This window comes from Homo sapiens, chromosome 15, assembly GCF_000001405.40.
Source record: "Homo sapiens chromosome 15, GRCh38.p14 Primary Assembly".
Classification (NCBI taxonomy): Eukaryota; Metazoa; Chordata; class Mammalia; order Primates; family Hominidae; genus Homo; species Homo sapiens.
The window spans coordinates 63,854,403-63,876,420 of NC_000015.10; the positions used below are offsets into that span (position 1 = coordinate 63,854,403).

The 22,018-nt window shown below is 46.1% G+C and overlaps 1 non-coding gene across 1 annotated transcript, besides 1 other annotated feature; it reads right to left on the reverse strand.

Moving 5' to 3' along the window:
• Window positions 6,059–6,118: an enhancer, noted in NCBI's record as "active region_9542". NCBI's record gives its function as "activates an Ori minimal core promoter by ATAC-STARR-seq in GM12878 lymphoblastoid cells {active_cell/tissue: GM12878}" and the evidence as "EXISTENCE:reporter gene assay evidence [ECO:0000049][PMID:35858748]".
• MIR422A (microRNA 422a) lies at window positions 16,528–16,617 on the reverse strand. The gene has a single exon (NR_029944.1). It is a non-coding gene; the product is annotated as a microRNA 422a (primary transcript).
• Between the last annotated feature and the right edge of the window lie 5,401 nt (window positions 16,618–22,018).

Here is a 22,018-nt window from a genome sequence, read left to right on the forward strand (position 1 = left end):
TAATCCCAGCACTTTAGGAGGCCAAGGTGGGCGGATCACTTGAGGTTAGGAGTTCGAGACCAGTCTGGCCAACATGGCAAAATCCCATCTCTGCTAAAAATACAAAAATTAGCTGGGCGTGGTGGCGTGCACCTGTAATCCCAGCTACTTGGGAGGCGGAGGTTGCAATGAGCCAAGATTGCGCCACTGCACTCCAGCCTGGGTGACAGAGCAAGACTCCGTCTCAAAAAATAAAATAAAATAGTTGAAATTATTTTTACAAAATTGTGTTTGTAAATACATATGACTTTTGTTCAATTAAAACATAATAAATGTTAAATAAAATAAAAATGGATTGAGGATAGCTTCTGCTTTTGCATGCCTTTAAGGAATTGCCCTCTTTCTGGCTGTGTGGCACTATTCCTCCTAGTCCCTGACTGCAGGAGTGGGTATGTGACACAGGCCTGGAGAATCACGATACCCTGTCATAACAAACTTAATGGCTTAAAACAACAAACATTTTTTATCTTACATTTCTGGGAAGTCAGAAGTTTGAAATAGGTCTATATGGACTAAAGTCAAGGTGTTGGCTGAGCTGTGTTCCTTCTGGAGGATCTAGGGGACACTGTTTCCTTTTCAGTTTCTAAAAGTTGCCTCCATTTCTTGGCTCATAGCCTGTTCCTCCATCTTCAAAGCCAGGAGCACAGCATTTTCAAACCGCTCTCTCACCCTGACTCTAACCTGCCTTTTATAAGGACCTTTGTGATTCTGCTCAGCCCACTGGAGAATCCAGAATACTCTCCCCATCTGAAAATCCTTAACTTAATCATATCTGCAAAGCCCTCTTTGCCATGCAAGGTAACATATTCACAGGGGCCAGGGATTAAGACAAGGCGGTCTTTCAAAGGTCATCATTCTGCCTCCCACACAAGTTATATAACTACAAAATTTAAGACTTGGAACATGTACAAAAACGTTACTCGCAATTTCTCCATCACCCTAAACACAATCACTAATGATATCTTTCTTGAGTCTTTCCAATCTTTTTTCTGTTTACAGTTGTTCACACAGTTACAATTATACCATTTTGTATTTAACTTTTTCACTTGATAAATACCACCCACCATTTCCTATGCCTTTATGATACTCATTAGCAATGGCTGCATAATATGCCACTGAGTGGATATGTTGTCACTTATTTAACCAACTCCATGTTGTTAGACCTTTAGGTTGACATGTAGGTTTCCATCTTTTCACTCTTATACATAACGAGCCAATGAACAAATATATGCATACAGCTCTTTCTAAATATGTGGATTATTTCTTTAGAATAGATTATCAGAGGTGGGATTACCAAGCCTAAAGAAATAAACAGTTTGATGTGAACAGCCAAATTACATCCCCAAAGATTGCAGTGATTTCACTCCCACCTGTGATAAAGGAGAATGCCTAATTCACTACCCCCCATCAGTTGTTGTCACTCCAGGGGAGTGAATTCAAAGCCCTTGCCAAATGTCTTTTGACTCATTCTCTATATCCTGTATGTACTCAGGCATCTTGTCCCAAGTTATGACATTTACGGTAAACCTGAAGTGTCATGATTTCTCAGGTATGTTTTCATCACTCAGAACTGAATTAGCCAGTCAACTAAGTCAACATTTCATCCAAAGATATGTAAAGTTAGAAACCAACTTTCCAGCAGTGATTTTGATTTATTAATTTATTTTTTTAATTTTGAGACAGAGTCTCACTCTGTCGCCCAGGCTGGAGTATAGTGGCATGATCTCAGCTCACTGCAACATCCACCTCCTGGGTTCAAGCGATTCTTCTTCCTCAGCCTCCCCAGGTAGCTGGGATTACAGATGCGAACCACCAGGCCTAGCCATTTTTGTGTTTTTTAGTAGAGATGGGGTTTCACCATGTTGGCCAGGCTGGTCTCGAACTCCTGACTTTGTGATCCGCCCACCTTGGCCTCCCAAAGTGCTGGGATTACAGGTGTGAACCATCACACCTGGCCTCTTTTATTTCTTTTAATTTTATTTATTTATTTATTTATTTTTTGAGACAGTTTTGCTCTTGTTGCTCAGGCTGGAGTGCAATGGTGCAATCTCAGCTCCCTGCAACCTCCGCCTCCCGGGTTCAAGTGATTCTCCTGTCTCAGCCTCCTGAGTAGCTGAAATTACAGGTGCCTGCCACTACATCTGGCTAATTTTTGTATTTTTAGTAGAGATGGGGTTTCACCATGTCGGCCAGGCTGGTTTTGAACTCCTGACCTCAGGTGATCTGCCTGCCTTGGCCTCCCAAAATGCTGGGATTACAGGCATGAGCCACTGTGCCTGGCCTCTTTTATGGTTTCGTATAATAAACAGCACCAATCCCTGCCACAACAGCTGTGGAGCACACCTGGAACATGTCAACATGTCTTCCTTGTTTGTAGAACTGTGCCCAGCTGAACCCACCTGGTGGATCCTTAAGCTGCTCACCCTCCTGAACTCTGAAAGGGAAAGGGTCCTAACTTCCCAGACCTTGCCAAGCATGCAGCCTCAGGCCACTATGACAACACAGAGAGGTAAAGCCACATTAGCATCTAGACTTGTGGCTGCCTCTGGTCCTAAGTTAAAGCTATGCTCTGAAAATGGTAACATCACGATAGCGCTAACAGCAATGACCCACATCTACTGAGTAATGGTTAAAGTACAGGCATTGTGCTCGGTATGATTATATGGATCATCTCATTTCTCCTTACAAGAACTCTAGAAGGTATCTGCTATAAAACCATTTTAAAATGAGGAAATTGAGCCTCAGAAAAGTTAAGGAATTTGCCCAAGGCCACACAGCTAACAAGTAGCAAAACCAGGATGTGAGGCCAGATGCTATCTGACTCCAGAGGAGAATTCTTAACAACATATTAGGTGGTGTTGCTGCTAAAAATATCTGCAGCATATTGTCTTAGTGTGTTACTCATCAAAACCCAGAGTCTTAGGGAAAAGCAACCTGGTGCCTTTCTGTACATTCAAAGAAAAGCAGCAGGGTAGGCCCCTAAACAACAGTGAGGCCTTGGAAAAGAAACACAGAAATAATGAAGAGGCGTTTGTATCTTGTCCACACATTCTTTTGCTGTCTGATTCGCCTTCTCAACTGGGAAATACAATGAGGACATGTATGTGTAACTGGGTTCAGGATCCTGGTTTGTCTCTAAGATCAAAAGGTCAGCACCTTGAATTCTGGGCTATGTCATGTGTCTGCATTTCCACAGCATCCCATAATTCCAGGCCTGGCCTAAGGGCACTGGGCCAGACGGAAGCACAGATGGAAGGCCTTGGTTGGTGATCCTGAGCCAGGGTCTCTTAGCCAGGAGGCTGCACCCCAGACACAGACACTCCAGCAGAAATGTTGAGTGGGTGGATGCAGATGTTAACCTCCTCAGCCTCAAGAGCCCTCAGACCAGGCTTCAGACTCAAAATTCAATCCCAACTAGCAGTGTGAAGTTGTGACCTCCAGACTTTGACCCCTTCTAAGCACATCCTCCCTTATTGTTGCTGCCGTCTCTATTCATCCTTTTTGTGACATCGCCCCTGCTCTTCAGGCATAGATTTGTTTTGTTTAGAGACAGGGTCTCCCTCTGTCGCCCAGGCTGGAGTGCAGTGGCACAATCATAGCTCACAGCAACCTCAAACTCCTGGGCTCAAGCAATCCTCCCACCTCAGCTTCTCAAGTAGCTAGGACTACAGATATGTGCTACTATGCCTGACTAATTTTTTCATTTTTATTTTTTTGTAGAGATGGGGTCTTGCTGTGTTGCCTAGGTGGGTCTCCAATTCTTGTGCTCAAGCGATCCTCCTGCCTCAGCCTCCCAAAGTTCTGAGATTACAGGAGTGATTCACTGTGTCTGGCCCCAGGCATAGATATTGTTGTGGTAAATAGCAATAGTAATATTAGCAATAGCTGCAGCAGTAATAGTAGCAGTAGCAGCAGCAACTGCAGTAGTATTGGTAGTAACAGTAGTAGCAATGATGGAGATGGTGGTAGGAGTAATAATAGCTACCACTACTATTTACTGAGACTTTCCTGTGTTCTAGGACCTATGCTGAGTGCTTTAACTGCATTATTTTATTTCATCTTCACAACCACCTTGGGCAAGGTGGCCGTAACACTCCCATTTTACAGATGAGACAATGAAGCTCTGAGCTATCACGCAACCTAGCAGAGCTTGGATTTGAATCAGGTCTGTTTGCCTGCAAGACCCATGCTTTTAACTACCATGTTTGCTTCCTTCCTATGGAAAATGTTTTTTGTTTGTTTTTTTGAGACAGAGTCTTGCTCTGTTGCCCAGGCTGGAGTGCAGTGGTACAATCTTGACTCACCGCAACCTCTGCCTCATGGGTTCAGGTGATTCTCGTGCCTCAGCCTCCTGAGTAGCTGGGACTACAGATGCCTGCCACCATGCCCGGTTGATTTTGTATTTTTAGTAGAGATGGGGTTTCACCATGTTGGCCAGGCTGGTCTTGAACTCCTGACCTCAAGTGACCCACCCTCCTGGGCCTCCCAGAGTGCTGAGATTACACGTGTGAGCCACCATGCCTGGCCTTTTTATTTGGTCAGCTACCAGGCTGTTGTGTTGGTTGTCATGGGAATGGATCGTAAGTCCTCTATATTAGTTTCCTGTTTTGAAAATGAATTATGACGAATGTAGTAGCTTAAAACAATACAAGTTTATTATCTTGCAGTTCTGGAGGTCAGAAGCCTGAAAAAAAAATGGGTCTTATGGGGCTAAAAGCAAGGTGTTAGCAGGGCTGCATTCTTTCTGGAGGCCCTAGGGGAGATCCATTCCCTTGCCTTTTCCAGCTTCTGATGTCATCTGCATTCTTTGGCTCATGGCTGCTTCCTCCATTTTTACAAAGAACATCACTCCAACCCCTGCTTCTGTCTTCTTCTCTGCCCTGCCTTTCTTTTATAAGGACTCTAGTGATTGCATTGGGCTCACCTGGCTAATCTGGGATCATCTCCCCATCCCATGATTTCTAATTTAATCACATCTGCAAGACCTCTTTTTGCCATGTAAATTAACATAGGTTCAGGAATTAAGATGTGGACATCTTTGAGGGGCTGTTATTCGATCTACTATACTCACCAAGTGCCAGTTTCCTCAACCAAAAGCCAGGCTATGAGTTGGCCATGGGAGTGAGAAGTGAGACAGGAGGGAAGGCCTACTGAGTGGCACATGCCTACCCTGCCCTCAGATGCTCTCTCACTGGGGTTATGAAACTTGCAGACATGGGGTTGGTCTGCAGAAGGATGTGTCAAGAATAGAGGGCCAGGCTGGGCATGGTAGCTCATGCCTGTAATCTCAACACTTTGGGAGGCTGAGGCGGGCAGATCACTTGAGGTCAGGAGTTCGAGACCAGCCTGGCCAACATGGTGAAACCCTGTCTCTACTAAAAATACCAAAAGAACTAGCCAGGTGTCATGGTGCATGCCTGTAATCCCAGCTACTCAGGAGGCTGAGGCAGGAGAATCACTTGAACCCAGGAAGTAGAGGTTGCAGTGAGCTAAGATGGCCCCACTGCACTCTAGCCTGGGCGACACCAGTGATACGTCTCAAAAAAAAAAAAAAAAAAAAGAAAAGAAAAAGAAAAAAGAAAGAATAGAGGGCCAGAATGAAAGGAGCTAGTTGTTCACCCACAGAATTCAGAGTTGGGCAAAGTTAGAAGCAATGGAGAAGGCATTTAGCAGGCTTTTGTAGGCCACTGTAGGCTTTCCTCACTGCAAGATTTTTGACAGACTGCTAGAATACCTTCTGGAGCAGAAAGCTCACTTCTTCACAAGAGAGCCAAGGCCATTGCTGGCAGCTGTGTTAAAAACTTCTTCCTTAGTTGAAGTCTACTTCCTCAGAAATGCACCCATTGGTCCTATCTCTACAGAGGCTGAACAGCTGCTCCCCCACCCACTGCCTTCCGGAGGTGAGGCTTTCAAGTGTAATGAAATCTTTGAAAGGTGCTTGTACTAAATCAAAGACACCAGCTGCACCCAGGGTGTACCAGCTGCCATCATCCACTGCCACAGGAACAGTGGATCTTCTAGGTGCTTTCAGAGTCCATGAACCAGTGACAATACTAGTCTGGTGCCTGCCACAAACAAACAGGCTCTTTAAAGCAGTGCCCTGGATCAAAGAGCAGAACCAGATCATCCTTGGAAGAAAAGGGCCGAGCAGATTTGGAAACGCGGCCAGATGCCCCAGACTCCTCTCCTTATAGCAGCTGTCAGAATTACAAGAAAGTATCTGTTGATGTCCCTGGTCCCTGTGCCCTGAAAACCTTCCTCCTCACTCTCTGGCCTAGGAGTAGAAATGGTTTCCTGCTGCTGCTGATCTGAGTTGTGTCATACTCTCCAGTGCTTTCTTGATTCTTCCATTGCTTGTGTGATGTCTATTAACATCTTTCTGTTTTAAATACTCAAAGTAGTATTCGTTTTCAGACTAGACATTACTCATGTAGGCTATGTTACCTGTATTACATTACCTATATATGTTACCTTCAGCTGTCATGCTTCAAGCACCCCCTTGCTGTTCTACAAGTGCTAAATTTCCTCCTTTAGACTAGCTATTCATTTTCCCATTTAACAGCCTTGGTAACTGATTTAGAAAAAATCTCTCTCTCTCTTTTTTTTAAAGAATCTCTGAAAAGGAAGATACAGGTCTGTGTGATCCACAAAGATCAAGAGTAGGGTCCAGGCCAGGTGCAGTGGCTTATGCCTGTGAACCCAGCACTCTGGGAGGCTGAGACAGGTGGATCACCTGGGGTCAAGAGTTTGAGACCAGCCTGGCCAACATGGTAAAACCCTGTCTCTACTAAAAATACAAAAATTAGTGGCTTGTGCCTATAGTCCCAGCTGCTTGGGAGGCTGAGGCAGGAGAATTGCTTGAACCTGGGAGGCAGAGGTTGCAGTGAGCCAAGATTGCACCACTGCACTCCAGCCTGGGCACAGAGTGAGACTGTCTCAAAGAAAAACAAAAAGTGGGGTCCAGTACCCCTCAATTCAACAAATATTCACTTGGTTCCCAGCATTCATTCATTCATTCGACAAATATCTATTGAGCACTGCTATTTTTCAAGCACTGTTGTAATTGGAGGGATACAGCAGTGAACAAGACAAAGTCTTTGCCTTAATGGAGTTTATATTTAAGTGGGAAGAGACGGACAATGAACAAATAACAAATAAATCTACAGTATATCAGACTGTGATAAGAGCTACAGAGAAAATACAAAGCTGGGTAAAGGAGTGAAGAGTGCCCAGATAGACATTGCTGGGATCGCTTGAGGTCAAGAGTTCAAGACCAGCCTGGGCAACATGGTTAAACCCAGTCTCTACTAAAAATACAAAAATTAACTGGGCATGGTGGTATGTGCCTGTAGTCCCAGCTACTTGGGAGGCTGAGGCATGAGAATCGCTTGAACCTGGGAGGCAGAGATTGCAGGGAGCCGAGATTGGGCCACTGCGCTCTAGCCTGGGTGGCAGAGCAAGACCCTATCTCAAAAAAAAAAAAAAAAAGTGAGTATAAACAAATGGGGAGGTTTGTGGACTGAACTCTGAACATTCCTGTGTTCAGAGGTTAGGAAATTATGGAAGAACCAGGAGAGGGGACTGAAGAGACAGGGTGTGTGTATGTGTGTGTGTGTGTATGTGTGTGTGTAGCAAGGAGAGAGGAGAGACTGTGAATGATCCTTGGGTAACTGCAGTCCATGTCTGTCTGTATGTCTTGTACCTCTGAGTTTGTGTAGCAGAGGACAGCCACATGGACTTTGAGTCTGCAAGCAAAGTTCCAGGCATGCAGTGAAAGTTCAGTGACCTCCCCAAAAAGGGTCCATAAACTCAGTTCATGGGTCTCTCCAAGAAGCCCCTACAACTTGAGTTCAATGCAGTCCTCAAGAATGTCCTGTTGGACCTGAGTTTATCAGCCTCCCCAGACAGCCTCACAGTTAGAGTCAGTACATTTCCTAAGAACCCCCTGCCTGAATTCAGTGAGCCCCTGCAGCCTAAATTTCGCACATTTCCCAGAAAGGTCCCACAGCCTCAGTTCAGTCACTTCGCTAGGGTGTCCTTAGAATCTGAGTTCTGAGCACTTCTCAAAGGTTCCTGCAGCCCGAGTTCAAAGCATTTTGACCTCCCTGCAGGCTGATTCCCTCTATGTCCTACCCCCAGGAAACCCCTGTGCCTCTAGTCCCCATCACTCCAGGCTCACCCTCAGGCTCTAAGTTACCAAGGCCCAAGGCCAGGAAGGCATGTGAAGCCAGGAGTCTTTTACTTCAGGGAAGAAAGGACACTAGGTCTCTCTCTCTCTCTCTCTCTGTCTCTCTCTCCTGCTTACTCTGACAAAGGCCTCTGCCCCTTGCTGGCAGCCTAGTGTCCCCATCTGCCAAGCCCCTAGGAGACCCTCAGTGGTGGCCACAGGTAGATCAGGGTGCAGACTCAGGATGGTGAGAAAGAAGGATCCCAGGAGAGAAGGGGGCTGAGTCTCCCTGGCAGCTCTGTCTTTCTCCCATTTTTCTCTTTCTCTCACCTCTGCTGGTAGCAACACCCAGGTCATGCACCCTGAATGGACTCTACAGTGAATGGGAGGAGCAAAGGGAAAGGGAAGGCATAGAAGGCCAAGGGAGTCCTAAGCTAGGCCAGCATCTTGGCAAGGAGCTGGCAGAGCTCCCCAATGTTAGAGAGCTCAACACCACTCCCCTTGGGAGAATCTCTGATGTTAGAGGGCTCTTCGATACCCCCCAACCCTCAGGAAAAAATGTTTGGGGCTGGGCGTGCCAAGGGCTCTGGTCCTCAGTCTGCTGCAGAGAGTAGAAAAACATTTATTCAAAACTATTCTCTAACCCCCTCAATGCCAAAAAAGTTTATCCTGATATCAACAGGGACTCTTTGCAGGGTTTTAAGCAGGTGAGGGGAACGTCATGCTGGGGTTGTAGAAAGCATCCGCCAGCTGGTGCCCCAGGGAATGGGAGAGCAAAAGCAGAAAGACCAGTGAGGACTTTGTTGCACTCGTCCTAGCAAGAGATGAGGGGGACTTAGGCTAGGGGAGCAGCAACGTTGTTGGAGGATGTAGAAGTATGTGAGAGAATGTTTTCATTTTATTCTTTTTATAAGATGGGTCTCGCTATGTTCTATAGGCTGGCCTTGAACTCCTGGGATTAAGTAATCCTCTTGCCTCAGCCTCTGGAGTAGCTGGGACTACAAGTATGCATCACCATGCCAGGAAAGAGAATGTTTAAAGGGCAAAATGGACAGGTCTTGGAGATGGTTTTGGTATGTGGGAGAAGGCAAGAATTCATTCAATGCCAGGTGTGGTTGCTCATGCCTGTAATCCCAGCACATTGGGAGGCTGAGGTGGGAGGATCAGTTGAGGCCGGGAGTTCAAGACCAGCCTGGGCAACATAGTGAGACGCCATCTCTATTTAAAAAAAAAAAAAGATTTTCATTCAACAAATACTTATTAGGCACCTCCTAAGCCAGTTCCACGTGCTTGGAATATAGGCTTTAAACAAGTAAGAAAAAAATCCCTGCCCCGTGAGTTCACATTCCAGAGAGTGACTCCCAGGTTTCTGCTTCTTATGACTGGGTAGATGATGGTGTGTGTCACTGAGATAGGGACATGGAAAGAGAAGCTGGTTTGGAAGGGGAGGGGTGCTGAGGTCCATTAGACATGGTTCGCTTGAGGTGCCTGTGGGATGACCAGGGAGGCTGGCCAGGCAGGACTTGTGGCTGGAGCTCAGATGAGAGGTCTGGCCTGGCAGGAGGTAGAAATTTGGTAGTGGCCACACATGGATGGTTCTGAATTTAAGGGAGATGGGAGACTGACCAGGCAAGCAAGTGCAGTCCAAAGACAGACCAGACTCTGAGGAAACAGATGGTGGCCTAGCTTAGGGCTCCCTTGGCCTTCTATGCCCTCCCTTTAGGGAAGGGAGGAGTGAGGGAAGCAGAGGGGTGATGAGAATTGGGAGAACCAGGAGAGTGGGGTGCCATTGAGCCACTAGGAAAGCCAGTACAGCCCCGAGAGAGGGATCCATTAGATTTGCTCACCAGGCCACTCAGTGACGCCGATGGGGGCAGGTAGTATCAAAGGAATGATGGGATTGGATCTCAGTGGACTGAGGAATAACAAGGAATGAGGAATCAGAGAGAGTTGTGGGTCCTTCTTTCAAAAAGTTTGGCCAGGAGGAGGAGGAGGAGGTAGCCCATCTGTGCCCTCTAGGGAGAACAGGTGTCAGGGCACAAAGGAGAGTACATGTCACTGTGGTTCAAAGTCGACTTAGGAGGGTCAGTGAGGAGCCATGAGGGGCCAAAGCATGCTGTGCGGTTTCCCCTGGCTCCTTTAGGCAACAACAAGCCCGCCTTCCAGCTACTCTGGATGGTTGATCTGCCAGGAGCCTCTCCACCTCATAGAAGGTAACCTGGCCTGCTGGGAAGCACCCAGCCTTCAGCTTGACTTTGAGTTTGCAACTCTACTTGGCTGCTTCCTCGTTGAGTAGCTATAGGTAAATTCATTAACTTAGCCTCCGTTTTCTCATCTATAAAATGGCATCTTCACAGGGATTAAATAAAAGAACATTGTGAATATAATCAACTTAACTATGGACTTAAAAATGGTTACAATGGGCCGGGCACAGTGGCTCACGCCTGTAATCCCAGCACTTTGGGAGGCCTAGGCGGGTGGATCATGAGGTCAGGAGATCGAGACCATCCTGGCTAACATGTGAAACCCCGTCTCTACTAAAAAATACAAAAAAAATTAGCCGGGGGTGATGGTAGGCGCCTGTAGTCCCAGCTACTTGGGAGGCTGAGGCAGGAGAATGGCGTGAACCCGGGAGGCGGAGCTTGCAGTGAGCTGAGTTCGCGCCACTGCACTCCAGCCTGGGTGACAGAGCGAGACTCCATCTCAAAAAAAAAAAAAAAGGTTACAATGACAAATTTTATGTTATATATATTTTCTCACAATGTTAAGATTAATAAATTAATGTGCCAAAAGCCATTGAATTGTACACTTTTTTGTTTTTTTTGAGACGGAGTCTCAAAAGTCCAGCCCAGGCTGGAGTGTAGTGGCGCGATCTCGGCTCACTGCAGCCTCCACCTCCCAGGTTCCTCCACCTCCCAGATTCTCCTGCCTCAGCCTCCAAGGTAGCTGGGATTACAGGCCCTCGCCATCATGCCTGGCTATTTTTTTTTGTATATATATTTTTTAATAGAGACGGGCTCCACCACGTTAGACAGGCTGGTCTCAAACTCCTGACCTCAAATGATCCGCCCACCTTGGCCTCCCAATTTGCTGGGATTACAGGCATGAGCAACTGTGCCTGGCTGAATCGTACACCTTAAATGGGTATATTGTATGGTATGTGAATTATAGCTCAGTAAATCTGTTAAAAAACATGAATGGGCATATTAATTTGCTTATTTAATTATTTCCTATAAAGTGTTGTTTATAGGAATCGTGCCAACTTACTGCCCAAGTTAAGTTTTATTTGTTGGTATATATTAACACATATACACACAGTTTACAATTTAATTTTCACCCTAAGTGGTGTACAGTCATTAAAGGGGCCCAGACCTCTGGGCTGCTCCAGGTTAAGAACCTTGCCCATGTCTCCTAGACCCTGAGTCTGATCTTCATCTCAGAAGTTGTCAAACTCCACCTGCAAAGCTCACTCTGGGGTAACCAAGCTCTGGAGAACCCAGGCCTCTGATGCAGACGCTTGAGAGGCTGATAAACAGGAAGGCCAATGGCTCCTTTTACCGATGGGGACACACTGAGCAGTCCTGGGTAAGGGCCCTCCCCATCACTGCGTGCCCAGCAGAAAGGAGGAACACAGGGTGCTCAGTGTTCTTCAGCACCCTCTTCCTAGCTATAACAACCATGGTTTTCACTGGCTGGTTCAACTTTATTGTGGGATAGAAGTCAATGATCAGAGCAGATATAAATAAAGAGCATTAGAAAATAATGAATCAGGAACATTTTTTTTTTTTTAAGATTCCAGTTCTACAAACCTGTTAGGAAAAACATCAGCCCCTACCACTCCCGTTTCCCACTTTCCAGGGAAACCACGTTCAGCTCTTACAGTGTCTTAAAAAAAAAAAAAATCTACTCCTTCCTGCTATTTTTCAGATTGGAAAACAGTTTGTAGAAGTCCTGGATGAGGGTCTCAATTTTGACAATTGCTCTAAGAGAACCTGTAAAGCAATATGAAATCTTGTAGAGCAATAGTAATTAGCTGTGGTAGAGGGTAGTTATAATAATGTAACTATTGCATCCTAACCCCTCTACCACAGCTAATTATTTCATGTTGCTGTACAGATTGCAAATGACTCTCCTCTACAGTATATCTTTTTTTTTTTTTTTTTTTTTTTTTGGTTTTGTTTTTGTTTGAGATGGAGTCTCGCTCTGTCTCCCATGCTGGAATGCAGTGGCGCGATCTCAGCTCACTGCAACCTCCGCCTCACGGGTTCACGCCATTCTCCCGCCTCAGCCTCCTGAGTACAGGCACCCGCCACCATGCCGGGCTAATTTTTTTTTCCTTTTTTTTTTTTTTTGTATTTTTAGTAGAGACGGGGTTTCACCGTGTTAGCCAGGATTGTCTCAATCTCCTGACCTCGTGATCTGCCCGCCTCAGCTTCCCACAGTGTTGGGATTACAGGCGTGAGCCACCGCGCCTGGCCTATATCTTTCTTTTTTTAAAAAAGGTAATTTTTATTGTGTTAAAATATACATAATATAAAATTTATCTTTTTTACTTTTTATTTTTTCTTTGAAACAGGGTCTCACTCTGTCACCCAGGCTGGAGTGCAGTGGCACAATCATAGCTCACTTCAGCCTTGAACTCCTGGATTCAAGCGGTCTTCCTGCCTTAGCCTCCAGAGTAGTTGGGCATTTTAACAATTTTTGACTGTACAATTCTTTGGCATTAAGTATATTCATGTTGTGTAGGCATCACCACCATCCATCTTAAAACTTTTTCACCACCTTAAACTGAAACTCTGTACCCATTAAACAATAACTCCCCATTGCTTCCTCCTCCAGCTCCTGATAATGACTACTCTACTTTCTTTCTCTATGAGTTTGACTCCTCTACGAACCTCATCTACCTGGAATCATACATTTGTCCTCCTTTTGTGTCTGGCTTCTTTCACTTAACATAGTGTTTTCAAGGATCATCATGTTGAAGCATGTATCAGAATTACATTCCTTCTTCAGGCTAAATGGTATTCCGTTGTGTATGTATCATACTTTGCTTATCCATTCATCCATTAATGGATGCTTGGGTTGTTTCCACTGTTTGGCTCTTGTGAATAACGCTGCTATGAACATGAGGGTAAAAATATCTGTTGAAGTCCCTGCTTTCAATTCATTCATTCATTCATTGAGACAGGATCTTACTTTATCAGTCAGGCTGGAGTGCGTGGTGTGATCACAGCTCACTGCAGCCTCAACCTTCCAGGCTCAAGCCATCCTCCCACGTCAGCCCCCTTAGTAGCCAGGACCACAGGTGCATGCCACCATGCCCAGCTAATTTAATTTTTTTTTTGTAGAGAAGGGGGGGTCTCACTATGTTGCCCAGGCTGGTCTTGAACTCCTGCCTCAAGCAGTCCTCCCTCTTTAGCCTCCCAAAGTTCTAGGATTGCAAGTGTGAGCCACTGAGCCCAGCCTCAATTTTTTGTATACCTAGAAGTGGAATTGCTGGATCTTCTAGTAATTTTATGTTTAATTTTTTGAGGGACCTACTTTGTCTTTCTGACAACAGTTTTATGACCAAGGTGAGGCAGATACTAAGACAACTGTTCTCATAAACCAGACAGGACACTTGGTGGCTGGCCCAGGGTCTCAAAGCTTGTTGGAAAGTAGAGCTGGGACTTGAGCCTGGCTCTTCTGGCTTTAAGTCCACCTTCTTTCTCGCTACCATGCTGTCCTCCCTATTATATTGGCCTTCTTAAGCCTATAGTCCCCAACCAGAGGTCTCAGATAGATGTTCCCATTCCTCCAGAGCATGTAGAGGAAGCTACATTTATGCAGCCACCCCCCTTTGTTTGCAATCATCATTAGCATCTATCAATGGCACATGCCTGGTCTATTATAGGTCTTGAATTAGAGCCCACCTCACCTCCGGTTAGACTAACTCATTGGATGAAGAAGTCTCATTGACACATTGGGAAAAAGGGTGTGCCTTTGCAATGATTCATGTCTATCTTATATGAATGCTTAATCCCTCAGGGGCTGTTCTTTGATCCAAATTTTGTTCCCCCTCTATTCTGGACCAACTGCTCCACACATAACTCATGGCATTGAAATAACAATTTTAAAGTAGCTGCCACATTTCAGGAATGGAGGGCTTTGCACATGTTAGCTCATTTACTCCCCTCACCCTGAGAAACAGAAAGCATCTTTCTGTTTTGCAGATAAAGAAACATAGGCCAGAGAGATCAAGCCACTTGCCTGAGAGATGGCCCAAGATTTTCTGGGTGCCAACATCAGTGCCTCTATTTCTCCACCTCACAACACCTCCTTCCCAAGGATATCTCCCACTATGTAAGACTTTGTAATCTAAAGCTTATGCTCTTAACGGGAACAGAGGGTTTTTTGAGTTGATGGGTTTTTTTTCTTTTTTCCTGTCTGGAGTTCAGACTTGACTTCTAATTGGTAGGGTTTTGTCCTCACTTCTTTGGACCCTCTCCTACAAGACCCTCTCCTACAAGACCACCCACCAGTCTGGGTCCTAATTGTTTGTGACTCTTTTTCAGGGTGGGAGCAGGGTGGTTATGGAATGACCATGGGTCCCGGCATGTAATAAGTGGCCATGACCTCTAGGTCTCTGGGCTAACACCAAGTGTCCCTGTTTAGCCAGTTCTCATTGAGATGTATTGAATGAATAAATAAGCTCATGAAAAAAAAATCAACCTAGACGATATTCTTCTCATCAAGAATAATAATACAAAATCAACCTAGACAATATTCTTCTCATCAAGAATAAAAATAAAATAAACCTAGACAATATTCTTCTCATCAAACAAAAACAAACAAACAAACAAAAAACTCATAATTATCCCCAGTGTTCTCTGCTTCAAAATAATGTGGAGGTACTCAGGAGGCTGAGGTGGGAGGATTCCCTCAGGCCAGGAGTTTGAGACCAGCCTGGGCAACACAGCAAGACCCCATCTTTAAAAAATTTTTTTTTAATTATCCAGGTGTGGTGGTATGTGCCTATAGTCCCAGCTACTTGAGAGGCTGGTGTGGGAGGGTGATTTGAACCCAGGAGTTTGAGGCTGCAGTGAGGTATAATCTCACCACTGCACTCCAGCCTGGATGACAGAGCAAGACCTTGTCTCTAAAACACACACACACACACACACACAAACACACATAATAGTGAGGAGGACTTGAATGCTATGAGAAGTGGGGAGCTTAGGAGGAGAGAGGAGGCCAATTTGCTATGATGAAAAGTTCAGTGCCCTAAGTTGAAATCCTAATTCCAGTCGCTTACTGTGTGGCCCTGGGCACATCACTTAACCTCTCTGAGTCATATTTTTCTCATTTTTGAAAAGGGGATAATAATTCTTGCCTCGCTGAGATGGTTGTGAGGATTAAATAAAATGAGGGGTGTGAAGGTGAGAGCACAGTCTCCAGCACACAGGAGAAATGAGGAAGCAGAGAGAATACTGGATGGATGAATGACCTAGCAAACAGTACAATATAGAATCTGTTTAAAGAAGTGAGCTTAAAAAATCCTCATGTGATGTATGTTATCTTTTGGGGCTATAAATGGCATTAGGCAATGAGGTATGTCAACGAACAATTATGACTCACCGTGGAAATACCAAGTCTTTAAAACCCAAGAACCAATTACCAAATCCAGCATCAAAGACACACTGAAGCACTTAAAAAAAAAAAAAAGTCCCATAGTCTAGGATGTGACAAAATTGCTATGTGTGGGATAGAGCCCTTGATTGCTAAGAAGATTCTGAACATTCACAGTGGAAAATTTTTCTCTTCCATAGGATCAAGTGAGAATCCTATATTCTATATGTGGATTAGGACCAATTAGGATGTCAGGGTCTAAATGATTTTGGTGATCTTGGCCCTAAGGATTGCAGGCAAAACCCAAAAGCCACAGTCTCTGAGCTCCTCCACTAAGGGTGTGCCCAACCCCCTCCTGCTCCCCCTCCGAAGCACTGGAGCTCCTCGCTGCCGGTGCCAACCTCCTCTTCCAGGAAGGAGCTCCCCACTCTCCCATGCCCTACTCTGGAGCTCTGGGTCTGATGTGTGCCTGGGCCTCCATGCTCCTGGCCTGAGGTGCTGTCCAGATGCTGAGAGTTGGGAGACTTTGCTGTCTCCAGGAATATTAATAGCATGGGAGCTGTCCAGCCTAGGGAGCCAGCACTGAGAACAGGAGCTGGGCAGGGAGGGCCTCGGAGCTCAGAGCCCAGGACCCAGAGCTTCTGAGCCAAGCTAGGATAGCCAGGAGGGGCCCTGGAGGCCATGCCTAAATGAACAAAGGAGGAAACTGAGGCCCAGGGAGGACAAAGCTTGGCTCAGGGACAGAGAGCCCATCTGCAGCAGAGAGACTCAGGCCTTCTGACCCTAAGTCCAGTGCTTCTCTCGTGTCCTCACATTGTGGGCTTCCCCCAGCAACATACAGTATTATATGCTCACCAATGAGGTATGCATCTGCTGACACATACCTACCACTGACCATGACACTCACTGATACAGCCCCCTCACAAGGTGCTTTTATCATCTCATTTAATTCTTACCACTACCCTGTGATTAGCTATGGTAGTACCGTCATCATCATCGTATTTTCCAGCTACAGAAACTGAGGCACAGAGAGGTGGGGTGCCAGACCTGGGGACTGGAGTCAGTTGTGAGAGCAGTGCGCCAGGGAAGGTTGCCTAGAAGAGGGGACATCTGAGCTGGATAGAGAAGCAGGTGTTCACTAGGAGGGTAAAGGAAGGGAAAGACATTGTAGGGAGAGGGACCAGCAGGAACAAAGCCTAGATTTATGAGGTTGGGGAGAGAGAGACAGAGGCAGAGAGAGAAGAGCACTGCAGGAGCATGAGGCATGCAGAGGATGATAGAGGGTACGGTGGAGACAGTGGGCAGGGTGGGGCTGGGGACTGTCTTACACAGCCATCCCTAAAGGCTCTCTCTGAGGGAACATGTGCATTAGTCCCGGGGCAGCAGACCCTCTGGACCCCAGCCTGAAAAATTTTGGAGCAGAGCTTCCCTAAGTGTTTTCCCTGACGGTGTTCCCAAGGGGTGTGGCTTAACCTTCCAACTACGCAGTAACCTCTCCTAAGTAAGAATAGTATCTGGCCAGACGCAGTGACTCATGTCTGTAATCCCAGCACTTTGGGAGGCTGAGGCAGGCAGATCACTTGAGACCAGGAGTTCAAGACCAGCCTGGCCAACATGGCGAAACCCCCTCTCTACTAAAAATACAAAAATTAGCTGGGTGTGGTGGTGCACTTCTGTAAGCCCAGCTACTCGGGAGGCCGAGGCATGAGAATTGCTTGAACCCAGGAGGTGGAAGTTGCAGTGAGCTGATATCACGCCACTGTACTCCAGCATGGGTGACAGAAAGAGACTATCTCTCAAAAAAAAAAAAAAAAAGTGATATCTCTCCTTCTGGGGTCTCCCTCCTCCATCCCAGCCTAGCTGTGGGCTGAAGCCCCATGTCATCAGGATAAAGGCTCAAGGCCTGGCTACCAAAACACAAAAACACAAGCACTCAGGCCCTGGCCTTTAGGGCCACTTACTTGCCTCCTATGTGTCTGGCTGGGGAGAGGGAAGAAGGATGACTGAAGGACAGGCTGGGGAGAGGAGTCATATCGCTGTGCCAAACTTGCCTCAAGATGGGGTACAAGAAGACAAGGAAGGGAATTTATGTTCATTGAACATTTATTAGGCAGTTGATTCCATTCTAAACACTTTTTTTTTTTTTTTTTTGAGACAGAGTCTCTGTCACCCAGGCTGGAGTGCAGTGGCGCAATCTCGGCTCACTGTAAGCTCCACCTCCAGGGTTCATGCTATTCTCCTGCCTCAGCCTCCTGAGTAGCTGGGACTACAGGCACCCGCCACCACGCCCGGCTATTTTTTTTTGTATTTTTAGTAGAGACAGAGTTTCACCGTGTTAGCCAGGATGGTCTCAATCTCCTGACCTTGTGATCCAGCCACCTCAGCCTCCCAAAGTGCTGGGATTACAGGCATGAGCCACCACACCCTGGCTGTAAACACTTTAATTTAAATATGCTATTTTATTTAATCCTCTCAAAAACCTTCACTTTATAATTGAGGAAACCAAAACTCAGAGAGGTAAGATAAGTCACCTGAGGTGTTTCCCCTGAGGCCATACTTCCCACTAGTATCCGCCTATGGGGATACTAAGGCCGACCTGGAAGTTGAGATTGACAGCACTGCTCTGAAGGAAATCTTTAGCTCAAGGACCCCCTTAATCCACTGGCCTTGTTGACCTTTCTTAGAACTGCACTGCCGTGTAAGATACTTTGATGTAACCTTCCTTCCTTCCCTCTCTCCATCACATGGGTCAGACCTGCATTGACGTCTGACGCCTCTCTCAGCCTTGCCAGCTCCCTCTCCAGTTTTGCACACTTACCGAATAATCTCCTGCAGTCTAACCCTGTCTTGATGTCTGCTACTTGGAAGACCTGGGCTAACACAGCCATACAGCTAGTGGTAGCTGGCTGGGCTTAGACTGACCTATATAATCCTTCTTCTGCACCATGTGCCACCTGCCATGAAATGGAAATGTCGGGGACTAATGTGAGCTGCTGCCTGGTTTTCTTTAAACAGCACAGGACAGAACTCCTTAGCCCTCCTCCCTCCCACAGCTTCCTTGCTTCCTTCCAGATGGAGTGACTGGCTGCCTCTGGAATCTCAGGGATCTCTTTGTGCCTGCCTGGCTGCTTCTCACTTTTCCCTGGGACTCAAGTGGGGAAGAAAGTCTACGTAGGTTTATTTATATCTTGAAATGAATCTTCCAGCCTGTTTTACACCTACCTCTCAGTTTCAGGTTATTTTTGTTTTGTTTTGTTTAGACAGAGTCTCACTCTGTTGCCCAGGCTGGAATGCAGTGGCGCGATCTCCACTCACTGCAACCTCCGCCTCCTGGGTTCAAGCGATTCTCTTGCCTCAGCCTCCTGAGTAGCTGGGATTACAGGCACACACCACTACACCTGGTTAATTTTTGTATTTTTAGTAGAGACAGGGTTTCACCATGTTGGCCAGGCTGGTCTTGAACTGACCTCATGTGATCCACCCACCTTGGCCTCCCAAAGTGCTGGGATTACAGGCGTGAGCCACCATACCTGGCCTTCAGTTTCGGTTTTTATTTTGCCTCAGGTCTGAACAATTCCCTCCACAATGACAATGTTCCAAGCTTCCTGAGTGCTGCACAGACTTTGTGACCTGAAAATAAATGAAATAGAAAGTAATCCTACAGATGGTACAGACACCCCCAACTAGGAGGAAGAGCAAGCTTCCTGAAAAGCTGTATAAAGAGCTCTTTCCACAAATTATATTAAGCTTTATAGTTAAGGGGTAGAGGGCTCCCTATCTCAAAGAACCCTGAATCTATGGCTTATTCCCTTTTTTCCCCCAGACCCAGACTATACAGAGTGGTACTGGATAAATATTTATAATGTGAAAAAATGATTATCTTTAATGGAGTCATTTTACAAGTTCAGATTTTCTCATGACCATTTTCTGGAAAGCAGAAAATCTGAAATTGTAACACGGTTAATAATATGAATATTATTAATCATCTAAGTAATAAAATAATGATATAAAATTCTTCCTGCTTTCAGAAATATATAAAGAGGCCACTGAGCCCATATCTCGAATCTATGAATTCTAAATAGTCCTGGCTGCAGTCTCAAGGCTCCAGGCTGAAGAAATGAACATGAATTTGTTTTGTTTTGTTTTGTTTTGAGTCGGAGGCTCACTCTGTCACCCGGGCTGGAGTGCAGTGGTGCAATTTCGGCTCACTGCAACCTCTGCCTCCTGGGTTCAAGCGATTCTCCTGCCTCAGCCTCCCTAGCAGGTGGGATTACGGGTGCGCGCCACCATGCCTGGCTAATTTTTTATATTTTTAGTAGAGATTGGGTTTCTCCATGTTAGTCAGGCTGGTCTCGAACTCCTGACCTCAGGTGATCTGCCCGCCTTGGCCTCCCAAAGTGCTGGGATTACAGGCATGAGTCACCACGCCCAGCCGAACATGAGTGTTTTTAAGGACTCCTGAGAGAAGAGGAGAGAACACCTGGACTAAAAATGCACTGCACTTGCATATCCTGAGGCCAATCTTCATGGTTTTTATGCTCTTATCCACCTAGAGCATCACAAACACCTTTCTGCAGGGTGGCCCATTCTGACATTAGCCAGATTATGTCAGCCCTGGATTGCTCAGGCAAATTATGACTGCCAAGGAATCTAGCCATGGCCTAGAAGAAAGGGGTCATAGCGACTGGCTGTTACAGGAATGCTGACAAACCAGAAAGGAGAAGACACCAGGCCCAAATGATGAATGCTCAGAATTCTATCCGAGGGTTCCAAAACACAACTGCCCCCAGGCCTGGGCCATGCTACTCTAGTCCCTATTTTTCTTTTCTTTTTTTTTTTTTTTGAGACGGTGTCTTACTCTGTTGTCCAGGCTGGAGTGCAGTGGTGCAAACATGGCTCACTGTAGCCTTAGCCTCCTGAGCTCAGGTGATCCTCCCAGCTGAACCTCCTAGTAGTTGGGATTATAGGCACATACCACCACACCCAGCTAATTTGTGTAGTTTTTGTAGAAATGGGGTCTCGCCGTGTTGCCCAGGCTGGTCTCAAACTCCTGGGCTCAAGCGATCTGCCCGCCTCAGCCTCCCAAAGCGCTGGGATTACAGGAGTGAGCCACTGTGGTCCGCCCCTGTTTTTCTTTTCTATCTAAATCCTATCCAGTCCTTAAAGCCCAGTTCAATTTTCACCTCCTCCATGAAGCCTTCTGTGGCTACTCCATTGCATGATGACCTCTAGGCTGTCTCTAGCTTCCTGGGACGCTGTTCTGTACAACATGGCACTTACAGTTGTAAGTCCTGCCTTTTATAGCTAATGGTCTGCATTTGTGTAACATTTGCATTCACAACTTGATTGCAAGTCTCTAGAGAGCAATAGTTTTGTTTTCTTCTCAGTTCCAGGAACACAGTAAATCAACACTTGTTGGTTTGGATATGCAGTAAGCACTCAATAAATGACTGTTGATCTGGCATCCAATAGATGCTCAATAAATGCCTATTGGTTTGGTTTACAGAAAGTGCTCAATAAACGCCTACTAGCTTGGTATACAATAGGAGTTCGGTAAGTGACTGGCTTGATCTACTAGGGTTTTTTTTGAGTCTCCTCTTTGTTGAGGACTGGCTAAGCCGATTGGGCACCAGACCCAGTGGGAAGCTGGTTGGAAGATAGCTAGGACAGGAGAGCTCCCCACAGCAGGCCAAAGTGGAGAGCGAACAGTAGGGAGAACCCAAGCCAAATTCTTGAGAGGGACTAAGAGTCAAGGTCTGGAGAGCCCAGACCTAAATATCAGTTCCTAAGAAGCATCTTCCAGTAACTTCTAACAGCACCTCTTCAGTGAAGCCTTTCCTGACCTCACTATCCAAAGTAGCCATCCCTCGCCCTGTCACTCTCTGTTGCACTCTCCCATCTTACTTACTTCTTAGCATTCACACTACTTGATATTAGCATTTCTCCCCTACCGGGCACCCACCCCACTCCCCACTAGAATGTAATCCCTGTGAGGAAAGACTTCCTTGTTTATCAACACTTGCCTTGTTCACCAACATAACCCCACGGCTAGAAGAGTGCCAGCACATAGTAGGTGCTCAATAAATAGAACTTGAATGAATGACTGGATGAACTGAGAGAAATCAAGAGAAAGGAAGTCAGCAGGAAGTGAATTCAGACAGATCTGGATGGGAACTAGCAAGGTCCTGGGCCTCTGGCGAGAAT